The 27,872-nt window shown below is 38.5% G+C and overlaps 1 protein-coding gene across 10 annotated transcripts in view; it reads left to right on the forward strand.

The window, feature by feature from the left end:
• DESI2 (desumoylating isopeptidase 2) overlaps nt 1–27,872 on the forward strand; it is a 55,908-nt gene that overhangs the window by 8,498 nt on the left and 19,538 nt on the right. For 5 of the 10 annotated variants that reach the window (NR_123735.2, XR_001737208.3, NM_016076.5 and 2 more), the window contains exons 2-3: nt 24,974–25,046; nt 27,626–27,719. Coding sequence is in view for 7 of the 10 variants with exons in the window: in NM_016076.5 (NP_057160.2) it covers nt 24,974–25,046; nt 27,626–27,719 (167 nt within the window). In the remaining 3 variants the exon portion in view is untranslated. Of the gene's footprint in view, nt 1–18,296; nt 20,310–24,973; nt 25,047–27,625; nt 27,720–27,872 lie in introns of those variants that run through there. The other 5 variants (NR_123736.2, NM_001297746.2, XM_011544206.4 and 2 more) reach the window with 3 other exon arrangements.

Consider the following 27,872-nt stretch of genomic DNA (forward strand, 5'->3'; position numbering starts at 1 on the left):
TGTTCAATTCCCACCTATGAGTGAGAACATGCGGTGTTTGGTTTTTTGTCCTTGTGATAGTTTGCTGAGAATGATGGTTTCCAGCTTCATCCATGTCCCTACAAAGGACATGAACTCATCATTTTTTATGGCTGCATAGTATTCCATGATGTGTATGTGCCACATTTTCTTAATCCAGTCTATCATTGATGGACATTTGGGTTGGTTCCAAGTCTTTGCTATTGTGAATAGTGCCGCAGTAAACATACGTGTGCATGTGTCTTTATAGCAGCATGATTTATAATCCTTTGGGTACATACCCAGTAATGGGATGGCTGGGTCAAATGGTATTTCTAGTTCTAGATCCCTGAGGAATTGCCACACTGACTTCCACAATGGTTGAACTAGTTTACAGTCCCACAACAGTGTAAAAGTGTTCCTATTTCTCCACATCCTCTCCAGCACCTGTTGTTTCCTGACTTCTTAATGATCGCCATTCTAACTGGTGTGAGAAGGTATCTCATTGTGGTTTTGATTTGCATTTCTCTGATGGCCAGTGATGAGCATTTTTTCATGTGTCTTTTGGCTGCATAAATGTCTTCTTTTGAGAAGTGTCTGTTCATGTCCTTTGCCCACTTGTTGATGGGGTTGTTTGTTTTTTTCTAAATCAAGCTAATTTTCAGTGTCATTAGACACAGGTTACTTCCATCCTTTGGCTGTTATGAATAATGGTGTGTGAACATGGGTTTATAAAAATAAAAATGTCTATTCAAGTCCTGCTTTCGATTTTTTTGGATATATACCCAGAAGTCCATAGATTTTTTTAATTGGGCTTGCACTAAACTTATAAATTAACTTGGGAAGAACTGACATCTTTTCTATCATATTCTTCCCTCCACCCCCATTGATGAAAACAGGATGTTTTTTGTTTTTTGAAATTTTTATCCAGAAAATAGTTAAATAATGCCAAACTCATCTATCTAAACTGTCTATTAAACAGAATAAAGCTAATAAAATATATATGAGATAGTAAGTGGTAATTAGTGCTAAAGAGGAAAGTAAAGCAAAGAAGGGGAGGGACAGTGTAAGTCAGGATGGTATAGTTACCGGTTACTGCAGTTTCAAAGAGAGTGGTCAAGAAAGGCCTCACTAAGAAGGCATTCCTGAAAGGTGAAGTATACCATGTAGAAAGGAGAAAGTGTTCCAGACAGAGGGTAAGCAAACATCAAGGCTGTAAATCGGGCCACATGCTACCTGTTAAGTAAATGTACAGCAAGAAACAAGAGAAGTTTTTAAGGAATTGTTGATTTAAGTTCTCAGGTAGATTCAGTAGGATCATTGAAAATAGAACAAGCAGTACCACCAGAAAGGGAAAAATCTGGGATTAGGATAGATTCCACAAAAATGAAAAGCACCATTTCCTAATTTTTAACTAGAAAGGGAGTTAGATTGGGAACTAAAGAGAAAACAACAAGATTTAGAAAGTCAGAAATTCAAGTAGAAGGGTCAAAAGGATCAAGTGATAGGCAAAACTTTTTAAAAGTTAGGACCATTCAACCAAAGCCTGGTTTAACTTGCAGTTTTTTTTTTTCCTTTTTTTTGACATGGAGTCTCGCTCTGTCGCCCAGGCTGGCATCCGTCTCGGCTCAGTGCAAGCTCCGCCTCCTGGGTTCACGCCATTCTTCTGCCTCAGTCTTCTGAGTAGCTGGGACTACAGGCGCCTGCCACCACGCCCGGCTAATTTTTTGTATTTTTAGTAGAGACGGGGTTTCACCATGTTAGCCAGGATGGTCTCGATCTCCTGACCTCGTGATCCGCCCACCTCAGCCTCCCAAAGTGCTGGGATTACAGGCGTGAGCCACCGCACCTGGCTGCAAATTTTAAGAATAAAGTAAAAAATCCTACAAATACACAAAGGCAAAAAAGTTACACGGGAACAAAATCAGGCTAATTTCAGACTTCTCTTTGCTTATACCAAAGGCTGAATAATAAAGTAGAGCATTATCTACAGAGTATTAAAAGGGAAAAGATTTATGTCTGAATACTATAGCTTCTCCAGTTGTCATTCATGTACAAAAGGACATAGACAATATGTAGATACCTTTCTGGGGGTTAAAAAATTATTCAAGAACTTGGCCGGGCACGGTGGCTCACGCCTGTAATCCCAGCACTTTGGGAGGCCAAGGTGGACGGATCATGAGGTCAGGAGATCGAGACCATCCTGGCTAACACGGTGAAACCCCATCTCTGCTAAAAATACAAAAAATTAGCCAGGCGTGGTGGCGGGCGCCTGTAGTCCCAGCTGCTCGGGAGGCTGAGGCAGGAGAATGGCGTGAACCTGGGAGGCGGAGGTTGCAGTGAGCCGAGATTGCGCCACTGCACGCCAGCCTGGGCGACAGAGTGAGACTCCGTCTCAGGAAAAAAAAAAAAAAAAAAAAAAAATTATTTAAGAACTTAACAATGGGGTGGTTACACTAAAAGGAAAGGCCATGGCCATCAATACTCATTTAACATAGCTAAATCTTATAACTGTGGTTAAAAACAGGGCCAGTGTCCAGAATTACTCTTTGAAGAGAACAAGCATGATGATTTTTAAAAATTAAGTTTTCAGGTTATGTTGAACAAACCTTGGGTGAGAGAGAAGAGGTAAAAGCTTGTAGCAGCCCTATATAGAAGGACGTGTGTTGTAAATATACTTAATTCTTGTTTTGGAAGATTATATTTGAGTGTATGTGTTAATTTTTTTCATTAAGATGTATTATTGGGAGAAAATCAAACCTACAGGGAAAAGAGCAACGAAGACGTAATCCATATGGTGTAATAGAAAAAACAGAGAAAAGTTCAATATGAAATGAAGTCAAGGCCAGGCACTGTGGCTCAGGCCTGTAATCCCAGCACTTTGAGAGGCTGAGGTGGGTGGTAGTGGGACCTTATCTCTACAAAAAATAAATAAATTAGCCAGGCCCATGCCTGTGATTCCAGCTACTTAAGGGACTGAGATGGGAGGATTGCCTCAGCCCAGAAGGTCGAGGCTGCAGTAAGCCATGATTGTGCCACTGCACTCAGTCTGGGCAACAGAGCAAGACCCTGTCTCAAAAATAAATACAAATAGGACCAAGCATATAAGTTATGAAATGACAGTAAATAAATTAAAATCCCCTATTAAGCTTGGTAAGTGTATTTATAAGTGTCCTTTGCCTTACAGAAATTTTGTTCTATGTGGTCAAAACTGTTGGTCTTTTATAACCTTTCATCTTCCAGTCCTTCCCTAGATTTTTCCTTGCAAAAAATGATAGAAATAATCTACATGTTTGTTCCCAAGTGGAATGCCAGTTATCCCAATGCTGTTTATTGAATAATCCATGCTTCCCCATGTTAATTTGTGGCACATACTATGTTTATGTTGTACTAAATTATCATGGATATTTAGGTCTGTTTGAAGACTGTCTGTGCTATTCATTTCTGCCTCTTCCTGCACCATTATTAGATGTTGAATTATACTAGTCTCTTCCAGCAAGTTTTGATATCAGTTTTGATATTGAATCTTCCGATATTAATACCTGATTTTTTTTTTTTAGTGTTTTCAGTATGCCACTATACTAAGCCATTTCCTTATATTATTATCCCTTTTTAAGTTGATGAAACTGAGGCCTAGTTGAAAAGCAAGCTCAGAGTCACGCCATAGTGGTAGAGCACAGTCTTGAACAAGAGCTCTTAACACTAAAATCTGCGCTCCTAACTGTCATGCTGTATTTCTTTTTCCTCATCTCATCCCCTCCATAACCCAGAAATATGCTGATTCTCTTTTTGTTTGTCCTCATCTTACACCCCTCCCTGAACTAACTTCTGCACTCTGTGGCACTCATGGATATACAGTGATCTAAAAACTGCCCTGCCTCCTAAATCTTTTCTGTGACTATTTCTGTCATAGTTAATGCTATGTGTCGACTTGAGTAGACCATGGTACCCAGTTTTAGTCAGACACCAGTCTAGATGTTGCTGCTAAGGTGCTTTTTAGATGTAACAATTTTATAGATTTTGAGTAAAGAAATTACCCTTCAAAATATGGATGGGCTTCATCCAGTCAGTTGAAGGCCTTAAAAGAAAAACTAAGTTCCCCAAGGAAGAACGAATTTTGGCTCCAGACAAGCTGCAACATCACCTCTTCCCTGAATCTGCATCCTGCAGACCTACTCTGAAGATTTCAGATCTATCAAGCCCCACAGTTGTGTGAGCCAGTTCCTTAAAATAATCACTTCTTTGCTCCCCTCTTCATCTGGGCTATTCTGCAGTCTACTGTTACAGTCACTCCCTCTGTCATACTTGTCTCCGTAGTTAAAATCAGCTCACCATCTACACCGCGGCAGCTGAATAGGGCTAGAGAAAAACAACCATAGTGACAGATCTCACTTTACAATTGTGACCACAAACCCCAAGAGGGCCCTAAATACTGTCTAGCAGTGCTTCCTTATTTCTCTGGTCAGTTGACATTCCCACTCTCCGAGACAACTACAATATGTCATACTTTCTCCCCATTCCCTACTCTCAGCTTATTTTCAGAGATTACCTCACAGCTTATTTCACTGAAGAGAAAAGAAAAGGCAGTTTTCTCATCCTTCCACCACCACTGTTTTACCATATGTAGTCTGCGTTCTCTCTGATCATATGGAATGAATTGTCCATGTCTCTATCTGAGATGAAACCTTCCGCTGTGTACTAGAACCCATCCTCTCTCCTATCTATACAAGGACTTCTCTTTCAGAATTGTCACCACTCTTTTCTGCCTCATCAGTTTTTTTTTACTTTCTACTCTATCACTCCAATCAGTGAATGAATATGCTATATTTTATAGTCCCCATTCATTCAAACTGAGGAGAATTAGTGATATACTTTAATATTTATCTCTATTAACCATCAACCATATTGTATCGTGTTCTCAAGCTGAAGGTTTGTCTTTTTAAATGAACTTCTTTAGAAATATATTACTTTTAAGCCTAACAAATAAGTGAACAAGAACTGTTTTAATCAGTCTCATTCATTCTGACCTGTTGCTCTTTTATCTGTGGGTATCAAACAATAATACAGCAATAAGGATTTTTTAAGTTTCCCACTCTGTAGTGACCCTGAGGGCAGACGCAGTGTCTATATTAGTTCCTTTTTAAAGACATAACTGAAACTGGGAACAAAAAGAGGTTTAATTGGACTTACAGTTCCATGTGGCTCGGGAGGCCTCAGAATCATGGCGGGTGGCAAAAGGCACTTGTTACGTGGTGGCAGCAAGAGAAAAATGAGGAAGAAGCAGAAGTGGAAATGCCTGATAAACCCATCAGATCTCGTGATTCTTATTCACTATCACGAGAATAGCATGGTAAAGACTGGCCCCCATGATTCAATTACCTCCCCCTGGGTCCCTCCCACAATACATGGGAATTCTGGGAGATACAATACAAGTTGAGATTTGGCTGGGGACATAGCCAAACCATATCATTCCACCCCTGGTCCCTCCAAATCTCATGTCCTCACATTTCAAAACCAATCATACCTTCTTAGCAGTCCCCTAAAGTCTTAACTCATTTCAGCATTAACCCAAAAGTCCACAGTCCAAAGTCTCATCTGAGACAAGGCAAGTCCCTTCCTATGAGCCTGTAAAATCAAAAGCAAGCTAGCTACTTCCTAGATATAATGGGGATACAGGTATTGGATAAATACAGCCATTCCAAATGGGAGAAATTGGCCAAAACAGAGGGGTTAAAGGGCCCATGCAAGTCCAAAATCCAGTGGGGCAGTCAAATTTTACAGCTGCAAAATGTTCTCCTTTGACTCCGGGTCTCACATCCAGGTCACGCTGATGAAAGAGGTGGGTTAAAATGACTCACATGATCCTTACAATGATATTGTATGCTAGGTATTATTACTATTCCCATTTTAGAGAGGCACAGATAAGTTAACTAACTTTCCCAAGGCCACACAGCTAAAAAGGGGGTAGGATACAAATCCATGCATCCTGATTCCAGGTTGTACCACAAACTGCATTACACTGCCTCTTGCTATAACAGAAGCAGGCTTGACCAAGGAGGAAAAGGTCAAATACAGCCTCTTGCTGCCCCCTCCTCAGTCCTAACTTTTCTTCAGTCCTGACTCTTACTCTGAACTAGTGCAATGGTTTAGGGCTCTCACCTGTCACCTGACAGGCTAGGGAGATCCATTAGGATAGCAGAGAGAAGCAGGCCTCCAGAGGTGACCAGCCAGTGAGAGGGCTGAAAGACACAAGCCATTGCTGGTGCTGAAGCGTAGTCACTCATTGTGTGATCTTGGTTAAATTACTTGGCTGAACATCCCTGACATAATTTACGTATTTTACATGGACTATTTCATTATGAAAGAAAAAGCTGACAGTACATTTTAGAGTGACATCCACAAAATGAGGTATTGACTATATGTATACATTTGTTGTTTTAACACTTATCAAATTGTGATTATTTACATACTTAAGAGTTCCTTATGGACAAGGATTGTGAATTAATCATCTTTGTATCCCCACTGTCTAGCAAAGTTCTGGACACAGCAGAAGAGGTATACCTATGTTTTGTTCAATCAAAGTTGCTTTGTTTATAGATCTGCTGGTATGCTGTCTTTTTAAAATGAGATTTAAACTGACATACAATTTAGGGGGGTCTTTCTAGAATAGTGTTTCTCAATTTTTATCTTGGATTCAATGCATTAGTACCAACAAGACCTCATAAGGTAGTTTAACAGTGTAAACTTACATCAAAGACAGTAATTAGCCCACGATCTCCACTAGTCACAACTGATATGGGGCTTTTTAAAAACTCAAAAATTGAAATGTCTTCTTTTCCCTGAGCACCCTTTTTTGAGAAATAAGTCAAACACTTGCTTCAATTCACTCAACCTCTAACATGAACACTGATTCTAGTTTTTGAGGAGAAATGGTTATTCTTATACTTATCCAGATTATTTAATACTATCTTTTATGGAAGTCAGGCCCAGGCCCTAAGTGGTTATATTAAGTGTTTTAAGTTACAGAAAAAAGAGATGGCATTTGTCAATGTTACTTTCAAGCAGGAAGCATAAAATTTTATTAAACTGATGAGGGGCAAATCATTGACAAAAATGAAGTTTAATGAACGTTCTCTATCTGAAGAATAACATGACAGTAATATAGCACAATCAATTCGTTTCTGTAAACAATACTTTAAAATAATGAATGAAAATATTTAGGCCAGTTTTTTCCATTGAGGCAAGATTGAGCCCAAAAGTAACTGTACTTATTTTTGTAGTTATTGCCTTCCCCCATATTTTAAGAGGATAATTTTTCTGCAATTTTTTTCTCTTCCCTTTTATCATATTAATACTTTAGAATGCTTCTTAAAAATATTTTGAAAGGCCCTTTTTTGTGAGACAGGGTCTTACTTTGACACCCAGTCTAGAGTGCAGTGGCATAGTCATGGCTCACTGCAGGCTTTGACCTCCCAACCTCCAACAAACCTCCCACGTCAGCCCCCTGAGTAGCTGGGACTATGCACCGCCACACCCGGCTAATTGTTTAATTTTTTTGTAGAGATAGGGTCTCACTATGTGGCCCAGGCTGGTCTTGAACTCCTGGGCTTAAGTGATTGTCCCACCTTGGCCTCCCAAAGTGCTGGGATTACAGGCATGAGCCACCGTGCCTGGCCAGAAAACCTGTTTTTATTAAACTTGTACATTTTACTTTCTTCTTTTCAGAATCTTAATAAGAAAACCTTTTTATTCTTGCTTAAAAAAAGAAACTAGACTGGCCAGTTGCTCTGGCTCACACCTGTAATCTCAGCACTTTGGGAGGCCGAGGTGGGCGGATCACCTGAGGTCAGGAGTTCGAGACTAGCCTGACCAATATGGAGAAACCCCATCACTACTAAAAATACAAAATTAGCTGGGCGTGGTGGCATATGCCTGTAATCCTAGCTATTTGGGAGGCTGAGGCAGGAGAATTGCCTGAACCCGGGAGGCAGAGGTTGCGGTGAGCCAAGATCGCACCATTACACTCCAGTCTGGACAACAGGAGCGAAACTCCATCTCAAAAAAAGAAAAAAAGAAACTAGACTTCAGTGACACTGGATGGTGTCAGAGGAGGTAAGTGTGTATTAGTATTAGTGGTCATTCCTTGGCCACCTTCTGTGTAATTACTATCTCCATGGACTTAAGCAAGTACAGGGCTGTAAGGTCCTAGCACCAAAGTAAGATGTGGTTCTCCAGCCCTCTGCTCATGTACTTCACTAATATATAGGCATCCTTTAAAACTACTGTCTTACTTGAAGAAGCCTTTCACTGAGACCTATACTTCTCAAGAATATAAATAATTCTTTTTTTTTTTTGATAGGGAGTTTCGCTCTTGTTCCTAGGCTGGAGTGCGATGGCACAATCTTGGCTCACTGCAACCTCTGCCTCCTGGGTTCAAGTGATTCTCCTGTCCCAGCCTCCGGAATAGCTGGGATTACAGGCACATGCCACCACACCCAGCTAATTTTTGTATTTTTAGTAGAGATGGGGTTTCATCATATTGGTCAGGCTGGTCTTGAACTCCTGACCGCAAGTGATCCACCTGCCTCGGCCTCCCACAGTGCTGGGATTACAGGCATGTGCCACCACACCCGGCAGAATATAAATAATTCTTGTAGGAGTCTTTAAATAGAATCAAATTAACTCTACCATTGTTTGCTATTCATTTTGGTGAGTCACTACTCTTGGTAATTTGACATCAACTCCCAAAAATTCTTGAAAATTTTGACACTGTACAGATAACCAGAACTCGTCTATTTACACATGCATACAATCTTCCCCAATATGTAGAACAAAATTTGAGGGAAGGATCTTATTGCCAATAAATACGCGTTCTGGCTACAACTAACACTCATAATAATCTTTATGGGACAAGCACTCTTCTAAGTACTTTATACATACTAATTTATTTATTCTTCATAACAGTCCTCTGAGGTAGATTGTATTTGTTATCCCCATTTTGTAAGTAAGGACGTCAAGGGACAGAGAGGTAAGTAACTATCTTTCCCAAAGCCATACAACTAGCAAATAGTGGACTTCAACCAAGACATTCTGGCTCCAGGATTCTGAATTAGAATCAAACACTTTTTGAGACAGATTGAGTACCTTAAAAAGTTATCAAATACATATGAACAAACCAAGGCAAAGCACATAGGTCTCCCAACTCAGTCTAATTGCCGCCTTCACTACAGTCCAAATGCTTCAATTTGTGTTAGTTACAATACTTGGATAATCTTTTTTAAATTCAAGCAGTAATCTCTGAGATTAATGAAAATATAATAGAAGAAACGCTCTTGGAATCTAAACTGGAACTAGGGGGACATTGTGGGCTTTCTAGTTTGATCCTAAGGGAAAGAGATCCTTGGATTAAACTGACCAAATGATATCTTCGGTACAAATGGTTTACATAGGTAGTTGACATTGGGATGTTGTGGTAACTCTTCTACTGTTTCGCGGTTTAAGAGATACTATTTTGTGGTAGCATCTGGCTGCTTTACTGTTTTCCTTTGGTATGTTAGGAAGGGTTTGAGAAGAATTAAACTGTAAACTAACTTTCAAATGAAAACGTCTGATTGTTCGTGTAATCTCCGAGGGATGATCTAGTTGTCAGCACTGGGCACTGGGTAAGCTTGAATATATAGCCACCTTAAGTAGATGTGGTTCGAATGTTCTGTGCCATATTCCTCCCTTGTACAGCACCACTTTTGTGTGCTAACCTTTTTCTGCAAGGCCGGCCCCCAGTGTCATTATATGTAACTCTTCATCCCACCTTCGGCAGCTGCCTGAGAGCAATAGTTCTTTAACTAGTCTGCTGAATGTTAATACTAACTGTACTCTTATACTTGAACCAAGCTCTAGAAATAAAAGTTGTCTTCCCCCAGCTCAAATAAAAAGCCAACTTCTAGGGCTTTATTTGGATAAAAATGTCGTGGATTATCCATTTTTCTCAAGTATGTGTTTTTAAACTTTTGGCGTCTGCTACTATTGAGACGACAAAATCAATGAAGGCTTATCCAGCAGAAATCTTGCTAACATCCAGTTATATCTAGTTCACCAGCTTGTTTTGTTTGTCTTTTATGGATACATGTTATTGGCTATGATTTTGTTTTGCATGTTTATAATATTTTCTGTTAGAAAAATAGCTTCTAGTTTGTAAAATGAGGTTAAACATATCAATATTTTATGGTATCCTACAAAAGCATGAATTTCCTCATAGCAATTTTGAGAAATTCTCTTGACCTGTGTAGGGAGATTTTTACTGAAGAGATGCTATGTGACATAAGTTTTGACAGTAGTAAAATAATTTTTAAATGTAATGACAAAAGATAAAACCAAGTTACATGATTTGGATGTTTGTCCCCTCCAAATCTCATATTGAAATGTGACCTCCAGGCCAGGTGCAGTGGCTCATGCCTGTAATACCCAACACTTTGGGAGTCTGAGGTAGGAGGATCTCTTGAGGCCAGGAGTTTGAGATCAGCCTGGGCAACATAGCAAGACTCCATCTCTTAAAAAAAGAAATGTTGGAGGTGGATCCTAGTGGGAGGTCTTGGAATCATGGGGGCAGATCGCTCATGAATGACTTAGGGCCATCCCTTTGCTGATGAGTGAGTTCTCACTCAGTTCATGGGAGATCTGGTTGTTTAAAAGAGCCGGGACCTCCCCATTTCTCCATCTCTCTTGCTGCTGCTCTCGCCATGTGACGTGCCTGCTCTCCTTTTGTTTTCCACCATGATTGGAAGCTTCCTGAGACCCTCGCCAAAAACAGATGCTGGAGCCATGCTTGTACAGCCTGCAGAACTGTGAGCAAATTAAACCTCCTTTATAAATTACCCAGTCTCAGGTATTACTTTATAGCAACACAAAAACGGACTAACACACCAGGTTAGAGAAGCGTTGAGAAACACTACTATTGATTTCAAAAATTAATAGCAGTTGGCCACGCGTGGTGGCTCATGCCTGTAACCCTAGCACTTTGGGAGGCCAAGGCGGGCGGATCACGAGGTCAGGAGTCCGAGACCAGCCTGGACAACATGGTGAAACCCCATCTCTACTGAAAATACAAAAATTAGCCAGGCATGGTGGCATATGCCTGTAATCCCAGCTACTCTGGAGGCTGAGACAGGAGAATCGCTTGAACTCGGGAAGTAGAGGTTGCAGTGAGCCAAGATCGCCCCATTGCACTCCAGCCTGGGTGACAGCGAGACTCTGTCTGTAATAATAATAATAATAATAATAATAGCAGTTATTTCAGCATGAATAACTGCCAGCAGTAAATCATTATTGTAGGGGAGTAGGATAGTTTCACAACTGAAATCATTCCGTAAAAGGCTCAGTTCTCATATGCTTTTTTGTTTTGGTTTGGTTTTTTTTACAGTTATCTCACTAAATATTCACTTAAAATAGACATCATCCATATTGTCTGCATAGCTTTGGCAGGACTTTGAGGCAGAAGGACTTGATAAGGCATACTGACCTTGAATTAAATTTGCATCTTCCACAGGCAGCCTGCCCAGTTGTAAAGATTGAGCCTTCCAGGCGTGTTCTCTAATAATAGATCTAGGAAGCCCTAACAGGAGCAGAAGCATTTGGAGGGCATCTCTTTCTCTAACCAACTCTCCCTGGAAGGGCTTACCCTCTTTTCCTCTGAATCTATTAAGAAAAAACGTCACACCAAAGAAAAACATCTAATTTATTCGCTTCATAATGTATATTCTAAACATTTATTCAGAAATGTGCTACTGTTCATATGTGAAGTGGCTGACCAAAATACATATTTAGAATTGTTTTCTTCTGCTCTTGATATATTCCTTTTTTATATCCTGTTTTCCTTGTGACTAAAAGCAGATGTTTTTAGAAGGCAGCTGGCTAGAATTAGGAATGCAGCCTGTAATTTAAGAAGTAACCTATTTAAAGGTTTTTGATTGGGTATAGAGAGTTCAAGAAACTAATTGGACTGTCTTGTGTTACTAGAAAATGTTTTATGGTAGCTAGTATTTTTTTTCACTTTTTTTCCATTGAGAGTTCCATTCCCATAACTTATATATTTCACTGATAGTAAACTTTATTGGACCATGTCTAATAATAAAAACAGGGAAATGGAAACTTTTTGTGAATTTCTTGGTTCACATTTTGCTAACAGAGGAAAAACTTTGTTATAATGCCGAATTATTCTTTAAGGAGCAAAGTATGTTCTGTATCTAAAGGAATGTTTATCCTCGGGGGCTCAAGGCATGTACAGAAGAGTTTTTGTTTAGGTTTGCCAACTAAAACATGGTATACTCTTCTGTCATTTGGGACAAGTTAATAGATTTACTTTACTTCTGTCTCTTTTTTTTTTTTTTTTTTTTTTTGAGACGGAGTCTTGCTCTGTTGCCCAGGCTGGAGTACAGTGGTGCGATCTCGGCTCATTACAACCTCCGCCTCCCAGGTTCAAGTAATTCTCCTGCCTCAGCCTCCCAAGTAGCTGGAACTACAGGCGTCCGCCACCACGCCCAGCTAATTTTGTTTTGTAATTTTTGTAGAAACGGGGTTTCACCATATTGGTCAGGCTGGTCTCGAACTCCTCACCTCAGGTGATCCACCCGCCTCTGCTCCCAAAGTGGCTACAGGCGTGAGCTACTGCACCCGGCCGATTTACTTTACTTCTATTCATAACGGTCTTTTTTTTTTTTAACAGCCTTTTTGAGATACTGTTCATATACTAGATGAACTATATAAAATGTACACCCATTTAAAATGTACAATTCAGTGAATTTTAGTATATTCACAGTTGTGAAGCCATCATTACCACAGTCAATTTTAGGATATTTTCATCACCCTAGAGAGAAGCCCATACCCATTAGCAATCACTTCCCATATCTTCCCAAACTTCCAGTCATAGAACCACGAATCTACTTTCCGTCTGTGTAGCCTATTCTGGGCATTTCATATAAATGGAATCATGTAATATGTGGTCTTTTGTGATTGGCTTCTTTCACCTGGCATAATGTTTTCAAGGTTCATTCCTGTGGTAGCATGCATCAAATACCTCATTCCTTTTTACTGAGAAATCATATTGCGTTTCATGGATAATACCACATTTTATTTATCCAGTAATCAGTTGATAAACATGTAGTTGTTTCTACTTTTTGGCTATTACAAGTAATGCTGCCGTGAACATTAATTACAAGTTTTTATGTGGCTATATATTTTCATTTCTCTTGGGCATATGCCTAGAAATAAAATTGCTAGGTCATATGGTAACTTTAGGTTTAACTTTTGGAGGAACTGCCAAACTGTTTTCCAAGGCAGCTGTAACATGATACATTCCCACCAGTAATGTATTCGAGTTCTAATTTCTCCACATCCTAACACTTGTTATTATCTGTCTTTTTGATTATAGTCATCTGAGTAGGTGTGACATGATAGATAATGGTGGTTTTAATTTGCGTATCTTCTTAGAAGAAATACTTTTTTTTAGATCCTTTGCCCATTTTTTAGTAGGGTTATGTGTCTCGTTGAGTTCTAAGAGTTCTTATATGTATTCTACATATAAGTCCCTTGTCGGTATATGACTTGCCAAAATTTTCTCCCAGGCTGTGGTTTCCCTTTTCACTTTCTTGATAGTGTTCTTCAAAGCACTAAAGTTTTAAATTCTGCTTTCATCAATTTTTTTCTTTTGTTGCTTTTGCTTTTGGTGTCATATCTATGAAGCCATTGCGTAATCCAAGATCATGAAGATATGCTTCTCTTCCAAGAGTTTATAATTTAAGCTCTTGCATTTAGGTCTTTGATCCATTAAATTAATTTTTATATATGGCATGAGGTAGAAGACCAGCTTCATTCATTTGCATGTGGATTTCCAGTTGTCTCAGTTCTATTTGTTGAAAAGACTCTTCTTTTCCCACTGAATTGTCTTGGCACCTTTGTTAAAGATCAGTTGGCCATCATTATAGGGGCTTATTTCTGAACTCTGAATTCTGTTTCATTGATCTGTATGTCTATCTTTATGCCAGTAATACACTGTCTTGATTACTGTAGCTCTGTGCTAAATGTTGAAATCAGGAAGTCTGAGTCCTATAACTTTTTCAAGATTGTTTTAGCTATTCTAGGTCTCTTGAATTTCCATATGAATTTTTAAATTTGTCAATTTCTGCAAAAAATGGCAGCTGAGATTTTGACAAGAATGGCAGTGAATCTTCAGGTCAACTTGGGAGAGTATTACCATCCTAACAGTATTAAATCTTCCAGTTCACAAGCGTGGAATGTCTTTCCATTTATTTAGGTCTTCTTTAATTTTTTTCAACAATGTTTTGTAGTTTTCAGATACAGTTTATGAACTTCTTAAATGTATCCATAAGTTTATTTTTTATGTAACTGTAAATGGAATTTTCTTAATTTCATTTTTTGAGTGCTTATTGCTAGTGTATAGAAATACAATCAATTTTTTTTTTGAGACAGAGTCTTGCTCTGTCTCCCAGGCTGGAGTGCAGTGGCGCGATCTCAGCTCACTGCAAGCTCCACCTCCCTGGTTCAGGCCATTCTCCTGCCTCAGCCTCCCGAGCAGCTGAAACTACAGGTGCCTGCCACCACACCCGGCTCATTTTTTGTATTTTCAGTAGAGACAGGGTTTCACCGTGCTAGCCAGGGTGGTCTCAATCTCCTGACCTCCGTGATCCGCCCGCCTCAGCCTCCCAAAGTGCTGGGATTACAGGTGTGAGCCACCGCGCCTGGCCTACAATCGATTTTTATATATTGATCTTGTACCCTGCAATGTTTTTAACTTATCTATTAGTTTTAGTAATTTTTTAGTGGATTCCTTATGATTTTCCTGTATATAATATCATATCATCTGCAAAATGAGATAATTTTACTTCTTTTTTTCCAGTTTGAATGCCTTTAATTTTTCCTTCTTCAGTAATTGCCCTGGCTGGAATCTCCAGCACAGTGTTTAACAGAAGTGGCAAGAGCAGACACTCTTATCTTATTTTTTATTTTAAAGGGAAAGCATTCAGTCTTTCACCGTTAAGTATGATATTAGCTGTGAGGTTTTTCATAGATGTTCTTTATCAGCTTAGGGAAATTTCCATCTATTCCTAGTTTATTGAATAGATTTTAAAAATATATACAATGTATATTTTATATATTGTATAAAATATATATTATATATATTTTATATATATATATCATGAAAGGGTATTGGATTTTGTCCAGTGCTTTTCTTTGTCTATTGGGATGATCATGGGGATTTTGTCCTTTATATGGTATATTACATTAATTTTTTTTTTTTTTTTTTAAGATTAAGCCCACCTTCCATTCCAGGGATAAATCCCACTGGGTCATGTTATATAATCCTTGAGTCTGTTTTCATAATAGATATTAGTCTCTGTTTCTTGTGATGTCTTTGTTTTGGTATCAGGTTTATCTGGCCTCATAGAATGAGTTGGGAAGTGTTCCCCTTTCTTCTGTATTTTGGAAGAGCTTCTGAAGAATTGGTATTGATTCTTGTTTAATTTAGTAGAATTTGCCAGTGAAGTCCCCTGGTCCTGGGCTTTTCTTTGTGGGTAGTGTTTAAATTACTAGTTCATTCTTTTCTCATTAGAGGTTATTTAGATTTTCTGTATCTTCTTGAGTCAGTTTTGGTAGCTTGTGAATTTGTCCATTTCATCTCAGTTATATAATTTGTTGGCATACAGTTGTTCTTAGTCTTCCTTGGAATCCTTTTCATTTCCATTAGGTTGGTAGAGATGTCTCTTCATAGATTTTTAACCAGTAAATAGATCGCTACTTTAACTTTACAAAGAAATTAACTCTTCAACTTCTGGGGGTCCTTTCTGAGGATAGAAAATATAAGGAAATGTGAAAAACAAAGAACTACTGAGTTCATCATTATTATTGCTAACAATGAATAAGCAACGTCAACATTAATTTTTGCCTTGCACAGAATATTGAAACAGAGCCTTCAAAAAAATAACAGTAATGAGTCTGGGCACAGTACTGGGCATGGCTCACACCTGTAATCCCAGCACTTGTGGAGGCCAAGGTGGGAGGATTGCTTGAGGCCAGGAGTTCAAGACAAGCTTGGGCAACATAGCGAGACCCTGCATCCACAAAAATAAAAGTTAAAAAATTAGCCTGGCATGGTGGTGCATGCCTCTAGTCCCAGTTTCTCAGGCGGCTGAGTTAGGAGGATTGCTTCAGCCCAGGGGTTTGAGGAGGCAGTGAGCTATGATCGTACCACTGCACTCCAGCCTAGGCGACAGAGTGAGACCCTGTCTCTAAAAAAATAACAGTAATAATGATGATGATGTTAGGAGTGAGGGGTGGACTTACACTGTTTAATACTGTCCAAAGGAATATATCTCTAGGTTTAGAAATCATTTTCCTAGCAACTTGTGGGCTTTGTATAATCTTGAGCAGGAACAGTTGACCTGATAGTTCAACTTTCTATCTGAGAGTGGAGGTAACAGTACCACTTGCAAAGCAAGCAGATACTCATTTTCATTGTACTGTCTCAGCATTTCTTTAGAAACTTTATTTAGGCCACATCTCATTATAGTGAATTCCAAACTACTGACCACATTTGTGGATGGAATATTTCTCTTGCTTTTAAGTTTCTTTTTACAGTTTTCCCCTTTATAAAATGTGTCAAAATATACCTTTATTTTTTAGAATGTAAAATCTTGAATACAAGGAATTTTCAGACTGAAGAAGTATAGTACTCAGGCAACATATAGGAGTTCTAAGCATGGAATCCCCAAGCATAGAAGAAATTATTTTCATTTGTGAAAAGGCAGAGAATAAAAGATTTCTGAGTTTAGGATGCCCACTCTGATAAGTTCATTCTCATCCTAATTCTTTACCAAAAGTCAACATTCGGGCATAACTCTTTTTCATGAATATCTTTCCCATTTTTTAATAAAACCTTTGGGTTCCTGTTATGGAAATTTACAATAAATCACTTTCAGAAGGCTATTTACTGCTCAACTGAAGAGATTGTTAAAATTAAGTGATATTGAACATAAAATGGAAATGTTCCATTTACTAAGCATTTAAAACCTTTTGATTATTGTAGCCAAACCATTATGTATACATCTCTTTTTGGATAATATTCTATATTTTGAAAAAGAAGCTGTGCTGCAAGAAGAGAATAGCCCACTTTAAAATAGAGCCGCCTGCATCCGGAACAGAAACCTTTTGGTGCTGTCGTTAAGGAAATCAACAGTATACAGACCAAATTATTGGTTGCAAACTGTATAAACAATGGGATTTCTCAATTGGAAAAGGCAATTTAAGTCCTAGAAGTTGGCTGCCAAGGAAACCACTACGTGGAGAAAGCCTAACAAAATTTTTATGTGAACTGGCGTGATACCTTGCAGTATTTTCCACTCTTTTTCTCTTTTTTTCTTTTTTTTTGAGACAGGGTCTCACTCAGTCGCTCAGGCTGGAGTGCAGTGTCACAATCACAGCTCACTGAAGCCTCGACCTCCTGGGCTCAGGTAATCAATCCTCCCATGTCAGCCTCCTGGGTAGCTGGGACTACAGGCACGCACCACCACTTCCAGCTAACTTTTTGTATTTTGTAGAAATGGGGTTTCACCATGTTGCCCAGGCTGGTCTTTTTCTGTGAAAAGGGGGAGAAAGTAAGAGGATAGCAAGAAACTTAGAAATGCATCTCTTGTAAGGAGGCGAGGACTAGATTATTCTCTTTAGTTCCCCCAAATTTTTTATTGTGAAATTTTTTAAACCTTCCCAAAAAGTTGAAGGAAGAGTACAATCTGTATATACCCTTCATTCAGATGTACCAGTTTTTAACCTTTTGCTACATTTACTTTCTCTCACACCCGTCCTACACTCTGTCACACACAGATCACATAGAAAGTAAGTCACAAACATAGCAGTTCATCCCTAAATACTTTAGTATGTATTTCCCAAGAAGACATTTTCTGGCTTGGCGTGTTGGCTCACGCCTGTAATCCCAGCACTTTGGGAGGCCAAGGAGGGTGGATCACTTGAGGCCAGGAGTTTGAGACCAATCTGGCCAACATGCCAAAACCCCATCTCTACTAAAAATACAAAAATTATCCAGGTATTTCAGCACAAGCCTGTAATCCCCCTTGCATGGCTGAGGCACAAGAATCGCTCGAACCTGGGAGGTGGAGGTTGCAGTGAGCCCAGATTGCGCCACTGCACTCCATCCTGGGTGACAGAGTGAGAGACTCTATCTCAAAAAAAAAAAAAAAAAAAAAAAAAAGACATTTTCTACCTAACCATAGTGCTGTTATCACACCCAAGAAGTTTTTAATTGATGTAGTATTATTGAATATATAGTCTATATTCATGTTTTCCCCAATTGTTCCAATAATGGTTCTTTTTAGCCTTTTTTTTTTTTTTTTAAACAAAAAATCTAGGATCCAGTCGAGGTTCATTCACTTCCTTTAATTGCCGTAAGAGTAGCCCACCCTTCCTCTGCCTTCTTTTGACTTTGCTAACACTGATATTTTTTTAAAAACCAAGCCATCCATGGCCAGGCACAGTGGCTCATGTCTGTAACCCCAGCACTTTGGGAGGCCAAGGCAAGTGGATTGCTTGAGCCTAGGAGTTCGAGACCAGCCTGGACAACATGATGAAACCCTGTCTGTATAAAAAATAGCTGGGCATGGTGGCATGTGCCTGGAGTCCCAGCTACTCAGGAAACTGAGGTGGGAGAATGGCTTGAGCCCTGCCTGCAGTGAACCGAGATCAGGCCACTGCACTCCAGCCTGGGCAACAGAGCCAAACCCTGTCTCAAAAAAAAAAAAAGACCAGGCCAGTTTTCTTGTAGAATGTCTCATAGTCCAGACTTACCTGATTTTTCCTTATGGTTGTCTTCTGGTTTAACACATTTGACAGGAAAACTAACAAAGCAAATGTAGCTTTTGTATTTCGTCACATCCAAAGGCACATAATATCAATTGGTCCAACTATTAATGATGCTCAGTTCAATCACTTAGTATTGATAAGGTGATATACACCATATTTTTCCATTGCAAAGATATCTTTTTTCTTTGTTATTTAGGAAAAATAGTGGGGGTTGGCAAGTGACATTGGTGCAACAAATGGGGAGAAATGGCAGGGGAGAAGGAGGTGATACTTTGAGACATTGTGTATATCATTCTTAAACAGCCTTTCTTCTAATGGTTTTATCATCCATGATCTTTGCCTGACTCAACTGGTGGCAACAAAATGGTGATTGCCTAATTTTGCCCTTTCGTCTACTTGTACTAGCTGGCTGGCTTCTATTAAAAAAAGAGCTTTCCTCCTTTTACTTTTTTTTTTTTTTTTTAAGTATTACCATGGACTCTGAGATAGTCTTTTTATTCAATATGCTATAGTCCATTATCATTATTCTTTTTGATGTTCACCTTTTCCCATGGTTGACTAATGAAAACTGCTTTAGGCCAGCTTCTCTATAATCTTGACATGTGGCCATCATTCTTTGAGCAAGTCTCACCTTACACATTTTTGCCCTAACTTTGAATCAACCATTTCTCCAGAGTCCTGATTCCTTTTAGGAAGAGAAACCAAGATCTGGACAGTATGTTCATTGCTTCTACTTCAGTGGGCAAGCTAGGTAATAATATATATTCTTTATGAGTTTATACAGATGCTTCCCGTTACGATCCAGTACCACGGGCTTCTTCCATTCCATTTCCTCTTCTGTGTTTTTTATCTCCCTCTACTACCCTGACAACTCTGGTTCCCACCATCAGTATATGTACTCACTTGCTCTCTACTAGAGCATAGCAGTCCCCAACCTTTTTGGCATCAGGGACTAGTTTCGTGGAAGATGATTTTGCCATGGACCTGGGGCGGGGGAGGGAGGATGGTTTCAAGATGAAACTGTTCCACCTCAGATCATCAGGCATTTGTTAGATTCTCATAAGGAACGCACAACCTAGATCTCTTGCATCCACAGCTGCCCACCTCTTGGTACATACACGTCCTGTAGTACATACAAATAGTTTTGGAATTACACCAGTACCACTATGAACAACACGTCTCAGTTTGAGATTTCTTTGCACTTCATTTTGTCCTTAGTATATATCTCAGTAAGGGTATATAGACAGAATACTGTATTCAGAAGTTAATTTCTTTTTTATTATCTGTGTGATTATCAATTTGATACACAACTAGGTTCATTTGTTTTTGTTTGACTTCGGTTTTGAGGTGTACTTCTGTTTCCAGAATTGGTTCCTTCCGGTGGGTTCTTGGTCTCACTGACTTCAAGAATGAAGCCGCAGACCCTCGTGGTGAGTGTTAAGTTCTTAAAGATGGTGTGTCTGGAGTTTGTTCCTTCAGATGTTCAGATGTGTCCAGAGTTTCTTCCTTCCAGTGGGTTCGTGGTCTCGCTGACTTCAGGAATGAAGCTGCAGACCCTTGTGGTCAGTGTTACAGCTCATAAAGGTAGTGCAGACCCAAAGAGTGAGCAGCAGCAAGATTTACTGTGAAGAGCAAAAGAACAAAGCTTCCACAGCGTGGAAGGGGACCTGAGCAGGTTGTGGCTGCTGGCTTGGGTGGCCAGCTTTTAGTCCCTTATTTGGCCACACCCGCATCCCACTGATTGGTCCATTTTACAGAGTGCTGATTGGTCTGTTTTTTACAGAGCGCTGATGGGTGCATTTTTACAGAGTGCTGATTGGTGCATTTACAATCCTCTAGCTAGACAGAAAAGTTCTCCAAGTCCCCACCTGACCCAGGAAGTCCAGCTGGCTTCACTTCTCACTTCTTTTTCTATTTCAAAGTTTAACTTTGTGAAAAACATTTACATCGTTCAAATGTCAAAACTATATATGAAAAGATATCCCAGGAAGTCTCCTATCTCTTTCCCTTTCATCCACCTCTGGTAGGTAACTATTTTCATAATTTTCTGGTTTTTTCTTCTTTTTCTTTTTTGTAAAAAAATAGATATTTGCATATGACAGGGATCTTACACAAACTTTTTCTGTAAATAACCAGATAGTAAATATTTTGGTTATCTATCACACTCAACTCTGCCATTGTGGCATAAAAGCCACGCAGACAATTTGCAAACAAATGAGCGTGGCTGTGTTCCAATAAAACGTTATTTGCAAAGACAGGCGGGGGGCCAGATTGGTCTGCAGGAGTTGTTTGCTGGCTGTAAGATGTAGATACAGACATTCTCATACAAAAGCATGTATATAGTGTGTTGTCAAAAAAAAAAAAAAAACTCAGTGATATTTGTTAAAGCACAGTAAGGCAAACTCTTTTCAAGACCATTGTGATAGGTAGAGGGGCCATGGCAATGGGATTTTGCAGTGGAGTAGAGAAACTGTGTTCAACTCCAAACACAGCATGGGCAAATGGGAATTTGCAGCCAGGGAGCAGGGTGGAGGGTCAGTGGATGGAAAATTTCTAAGAGGAAACATTAGGGATCCAGGGGGGTTCTGGCTAAACCAACCTAACACATTTCCTAGTGAAGATCTGGCATCACCAGGGGGATGGTGGAGGATGAGGAACCTGACCAGATATGGAGGTGATCAGATAGCAAGGGTTGGGGGTTCTTGCTGAACTGAATTAGCAAGATTCTTTGCTAAAACCTGATTTTACAAGTACGTGTACACATGGGCCTAGGAGAAGGTTCAGGAGTCTAAGTCTTTGCCATATATTATTACTTTTTTCTTTTTTTGAGACAGAGTCTCGCTCTGTCGCCCAGGCTGGAGTGCAGTGGCGTGATCTCGGCTCACTGCAAGCTCCGCCTCCCAGGTTCATGCCATTCTCCTGCCTCAGCCTCCTGAGTAGCTGGGACTACAAGTGCCCGCCATCACACCCGGCTAATTTTTTGTATTTTCAGTAGAGACAGGGTTTCACCATGTTAGCCAGGGTGGTCTTGATCTCCTGACCTTGTGATCCGCCCACCTCAGCCTCCCAAAGTGCTGGGATTACAGGCGTGAGCCACCGCGCCCAGCCTTTTGCCATATATTACTTTGCAACTTGCTTTTGTTTCCCTAACAAATATATCCTGGAAATTACTTCCTCTTCCTCTTAGTTCCTTAAGAGCATCACACCTGCCCCAACACTTTTTGAATTTTTTTTTAGAGACAGGGTCTCACTTTGTTGCCCTGGCTGGAGTGCAGTGGTGTGATCATAGCTCACTGCAACCTCAAACTCCCGGGCTCAGTTCTCCCACCTCAGCCTCCCAAGTAGCTAGGACCACGGGTACCTGGCTAATTTTTTTTTTTTTTTAAGAGATTGGGTCTCCCTGTGTTGCCTAGGGGGGTCTTGAACTCCTGGCCTCAAGCTGTCCTCCCGCCTCAACCTCCCAAAGTACTGGAATTACAGGTGTGAGCCACCACACTGAGCCCTTCCCCTCTTTTTATGGCTAAAGAGTATTCCATTATATAGATATATCATAGTTTATGTAACTAGGACCCTATAAATGAACATTTAGGCTGTTGTCAACATTTTACTAACATAAATAATACTGCAGTTAATAGTCTTATGCTTATGGTTTTTTATATGTGCAACCTATTCTTTTACTATAGTATAAAGATTCAAATAAATAAAAACCTGTTAAACTAAGATAATAGCATTTTACTTTAAAATAACATTTTTAACTATAAAAGTAATACTCTTTATCAAATTTAGAAGAACAAACAATCCTGAATGTATGGAGCTAAAACTGAAAGTATTGCATTTTAGTCCTCCACTCCCACCCTAGCCACGTGTACTCCTCTCGGCCAAATTGTTAACAGTTGAACACAGGTGCTTCAGACCTTTCTTTTGTTGCAATTGGTGGTAGTTTGATTTTGTCATCCCATACTTAACATGTAAGTATATCCTCAGGCTAACTTATTTTTCAAAAATGTGATCATGCTACACATATTATGACTTGATCTTTTTATTTTATGTGGTTTTTAAATATCTATCGAGTTACCTCATTCTTTTTTCTTTTTTAAAAAAAAAATCTCAGCTAATTTTCCCAAGTCAACCTTATTCTTTTTTTGATTGATAGTTTATAATATGAATGTACCATAATTAGCCATTTCTCTATTGATATTTAGACTTCAGTTTTTCAGTACTTGTAGACAACTACAGTTAATATCCTGGGACATGGCTTTGCATATGTACTAGTATTTCTATAGAATAGATTCCAGAAGGTGAAATGGTTAAGTCACTTTCATTGATTTTCACAAGTATACTCATATCTGAACTTTTGCTGCCCAAACTCTGGGATTAAATAGATTTGGGTAAATGTTTTGAAGAATCCTTACTGTATGTAATCTTACTACTCTCCTTCCAAAATCAAATTGATTCACATAAAAAAATGTAGCCTTCGTTTCCTAACTTGCCATCCAAATTCTGGCTCTCCAAAATCAGGAACTCAAAAAATTCCGATCAAGAGGGATACTTATATTCTCATATGAATCTTTGTTATATCCACACAGATTCTCTCTTTTTGCATATTATTTATCTTTTTATCTTGTTTTTATGTAGTTTTATAAAATAAAAAGTTGTACATTTTTATGTAGAATATCTGTTGATATTTTCCTCTGTAAATTCTAGGATTTTACTTTACTTAGGTTGTCTTTTCCCACCTAAAATTTTTAAAACTCTATTCCCTTCTATCCATATATAGTTATTTTTAGACACACTAGAATTTTTATACATGAAATTTATGCATAATCAATTTTGTCAACATGCTTTTAGTAAGTCATACTTTGTCATTAATTTTAAATATCTCCTTTATCATATATCAAATTCTTATATATACAAGGGTCTGTACCAGGATCTGTTCCTGCAACAATGCCATATTGTTTTAATGAATATTTCAATTTCTAGATGGGAAAATTCCTTGTTTTCATATATTTATTTATGATTGCTTAATTCTTCTTCCAGGTACGTTTTATTTTATTTTTATCCACGCTCGGCCCCAGGTACATTTTAGAAAAAAACACAACTGACTTGTTCATTTATGCTTCTTCCAGCAATGCGTGAGAATGTGTGTAGGTCTGAGAAAGACTGGCTAGGGGTCTGGAGCCAAGGTTAAGACTTGAATAAACCTAGAACAATTAAAGATAAATTATCTGTCCCCTAACCTGGGAGACATCCAATAGGTTTGTAACACTTTTGAGTGTTACCTAAGTGTTTTGTTTAGTGAGCTCTTAACTCATTTACCTTTTTCTCAGTTTAACCCCCTCCACTTCACCTTTTTAACCCCTTTCACAGTCATTTCCTGTAATTTCTTATCATATAACCTATGTACATCCTCTTCCCTCTTCCTGGCATTTCTGTCCATCCCCATGGGCCCCATGGCCCAGTTTTCTTACTGGGAAATCTGATTTGTTCCTAAAGACTCAGTTCAGATATTACTTTTCTGGGAGGTTTTTATTCATGCTAATGGTAAGAAGTAAGAATGTTGTTCTAACCTTTGTGCATTGTTTATTCTTATATTATTACCATTATCAAACTTTGAGCTGAATCAGGACACATGATACATGCCGTAAATGTTTGTTGAAAAAGAATAAAATATTTCTGCTTTCAGGGAGCTCACCAAAGAATAAGAAGAAAAGCTTAGGATAGGAGAAAAATAGATATGAAAGCACACTCTGTGTGTGTGTGTGTATGTGTGTGTGTGTGTGTGTAAGTCACTAACAGCAGAGCTCTTATATAATCTCTCCCCCCACCGCCCCACAAACTGATCAAGCTTTTAATTGTATTGCTTCCCCTAGAAGCCTTAGATAATGTGCTTATACTCAAATCGCGACAATTATTTTGACCCAGGAAGGCATTCCAGATGTGGTACAGGCAAAGGCACAGAGCCACAGAGACAGGACCACTGGATCGTTATCATGGGAGTTTCAGAGTGAAAGACTGGGGAGCAGTCACTTCTGTAGCGCGGAGTTGGGTTGTAAATGAACAGGTATTCTGAATCTTTTCTTTCTTTTTTTCTCAGTATTGGATGAACGAATATACCTCATCCATTGGAATTGGAGTTTTTCATTCAGGAATTGAAGTCTATGGCAGAGGTACGTGTACACACAGTCTAAATATACTCTCTGAAGATTTTGTACTTTAAAAGAGTTGCAAAATCATAACTATAGGTCTCTCTTTTTTTAACCACTTGCATATGTTATTACAGAAAGTAGAAGAAAATCTCCCCATATTCATTTATACTGCGTTTTGGAAAAATGCCCAAAGTAGAATGTATTTGGGGAGAAAGTACTCAAAATACAAGAATATACATTTGCTTCATTCACTTTATCTTTTATTCTAAATACTATGTTTTAAAAAATATTTTCCTTTTGTGATTGTCATAAAATGACAGTTTGTTTTGTTCTCATATATATTGGAGCTCCTAAGAAACCTTGCATTTCGAAAATAGCATGATAAAAACAATAATTTTGGTCGGAAAGGTTGGTGCTAGAAAGTGTCAGACTTGAAATACCAATTTCCTGAGGGAATTTCAGTAATAAATTTGGTTTGTAGACCTATACGTCTTATAAAATCTATAAGTTTTTGAAGTCTAAAAACATTGCTGAGCAAATCCTGCCATGATTACATCTAATCATGCCCTTTGTCATTAACTCAGCCCTTTTCATTCTCCTTATTAAAACCCTTTATTAGGATAAACATGTCAGGAGTCACTCAAACCAAGCAGCTGTGTTTTCAACAGTTTTTTTCCACTGTGCTAATTCCTACTCTTGATGCAAGATAATCTACCCCTGATCAAGTTGTAACTAATAGTAATGGTCTGCGTAAGACAGATCACATTGCTGATTTCATTCAATGTATCATTTTGAATTATAAACTAACCCTATAGCAGAAATGCCTTTGTTCGCTTCAGCTAGGCAGTCTTTGTGACCTCTTAAGAATATATTATTGCAGTTTACTGAGGGTTACCCCTGAACACTATACACCAGTTTTAACCAATACAAAGAAAAGACTCATTTACTTAAATGTGTCAGTATGGTGGTTATACTCTTTTTTATATTCCATTTTACCTGCTTCCAGGTGAAGTTTAGCATATTAAATGTTGGCTATAAAAATCTGCCATTTAAGCTCTATTTTACTTGAAAGTCTGCATCTACCAAATAATCCCAGGAAATACTGAGGGGCTCTTGCTGGAAGTTTCATGCTTGGGAGTATTGCTGTGGGTGGGATCATAGTCTGTGGGGTTACTCTTTTGGCTGATTTGGCTTTTGCCAAATTTGCATGTGTATTTCTTGAATTTGTGTGATGTGTTACTGTTCTTAAAATGCCATCAAGTTTTGAACCACATGATCATGGTGGGTTAGGTAAGGGCAGGTGCCATCTTCTCCATTTTTCAGCTGAAGAAACTGAGGCCCAAACCTGCTGGAAGTCATCATGCTAATAATTAACTCAAACTTGAACCCAAATGTTCTTGTATGCTAGTCCGTGGCTCTATTATCTCCCTAATCATTGCTCCCCTTCATAAAATTATTTAGTAATAATTAGAAACATGTTTCAAAACATGTTCATGTAAATTTAGTAAAGCTAGAATCAAATATTAATATATTCCTGAAAATTAGTGATTGCTTTTTAAATAAAAGAATGGGTCTGTGACTTTCCGTACTATAATTGAGAAAGTTAAGAATCCAAATATAATCTTATCCCTTCCAACCTGATAATCTACAATATTTTGTAAAATTTTGTCACTAAAAAACTTTAAAAATTATGTTTCAAAATAGCCACTTTATTTCTCAAACTACATCATTGCTTTTTTTGAACAGGTCTGAATTAAAAGTAAATTTAGTATCTGCCTGTTCTTTCCTGTGCTTTGTTCTAAGACCTTTTAAGGTATATTTTTAAAGTGATGAAGTTGATTTAAGCATGGTTTGGAATTCTTTAAATTTGTCTACTAAGACTTAGCCACTGAAATATCTAAGTGAAATAACAGAAAATTACAGGAATTTTTTATCTAAAATTATTCTCCATTTTGTTCTCCAGAGTTTGTATCTGATGTACATTTTGTATTGGATGTACAGTCAAAAAATAGTTTATCCTAGCTAAAAGACTTGCTGTGGTGATTGGATGGGAGGGTGGATGGGTATGTGTGTTAATTTGGCAGTTTATTTTTTTCTTACATGAAGAGAATTGAGTAGTGTTTTAGGTTTGGTAATGTTCCACCCTACTCAAAGATAAACCAATAGTCTTTATCCCAGAAACCATGAAACTCACTGTTACTAGACAGTTTCTCCAGTAAGATATGTGTTTGAAATTGGATCACTTTAACTTAGAAAGTGGCAAAACACTGAACTGACCACCTGCCTAGACTGGCATGATATAGACAGGCAGAGAGAACTGTATATACCTCTGTGTGTTGATCACTCTCTTCCTGCCATGATAAGAAAGGGAAATATGGCAGGCAAGAATATCTTTGAGTGTCTTCTGTTATTTGAGTTTCGGGTCTTTTGTGACAACTGTTTATACGAGTAATAGCTAAGTGAGATATTTGTGAAAGCATTTTATAAACTGAAAAATATTTAGATGGTGTCACTGTTATCCTCAATTATTAAAGCTAATTCAGCATTCTGGTTAAATTTTATGTGATACATACTAAAAATCATGAGTTTTCTCTTTTCAGAATTTGCTTATGGTGGCCATCCTTACCCCTTTTCTGGAATATTTGAAATTTCCCCAGGAAATGCTTCTGAACTAGGAGAAACATTTAAATTTAAGTAAGTAGGGAGGATAATTTTTATTACACTGTCTTAGGTGCCATAGCTTGTTTTCAGGTATACAGAATTCATTCTGTAAATCAAAACAAACCCAAGAAGTTAAAAATGTCTCTTTGTTTTAATTGCTGACATTTTATATAACTCAAGTTTGCC

The sequence above is a fragment of the Homo sapiens genome, chromosome 1, assembly GCF_000001405.40.
Source record: "Homo sapiens chromosome 1, GRCh38.p14 Primary Assembly".
Lineage (NCBI taxonomy): Eukaryota > Metazoa > Chordata > Mammalia > Primates > Hominidae > Homo > Homo sapiens.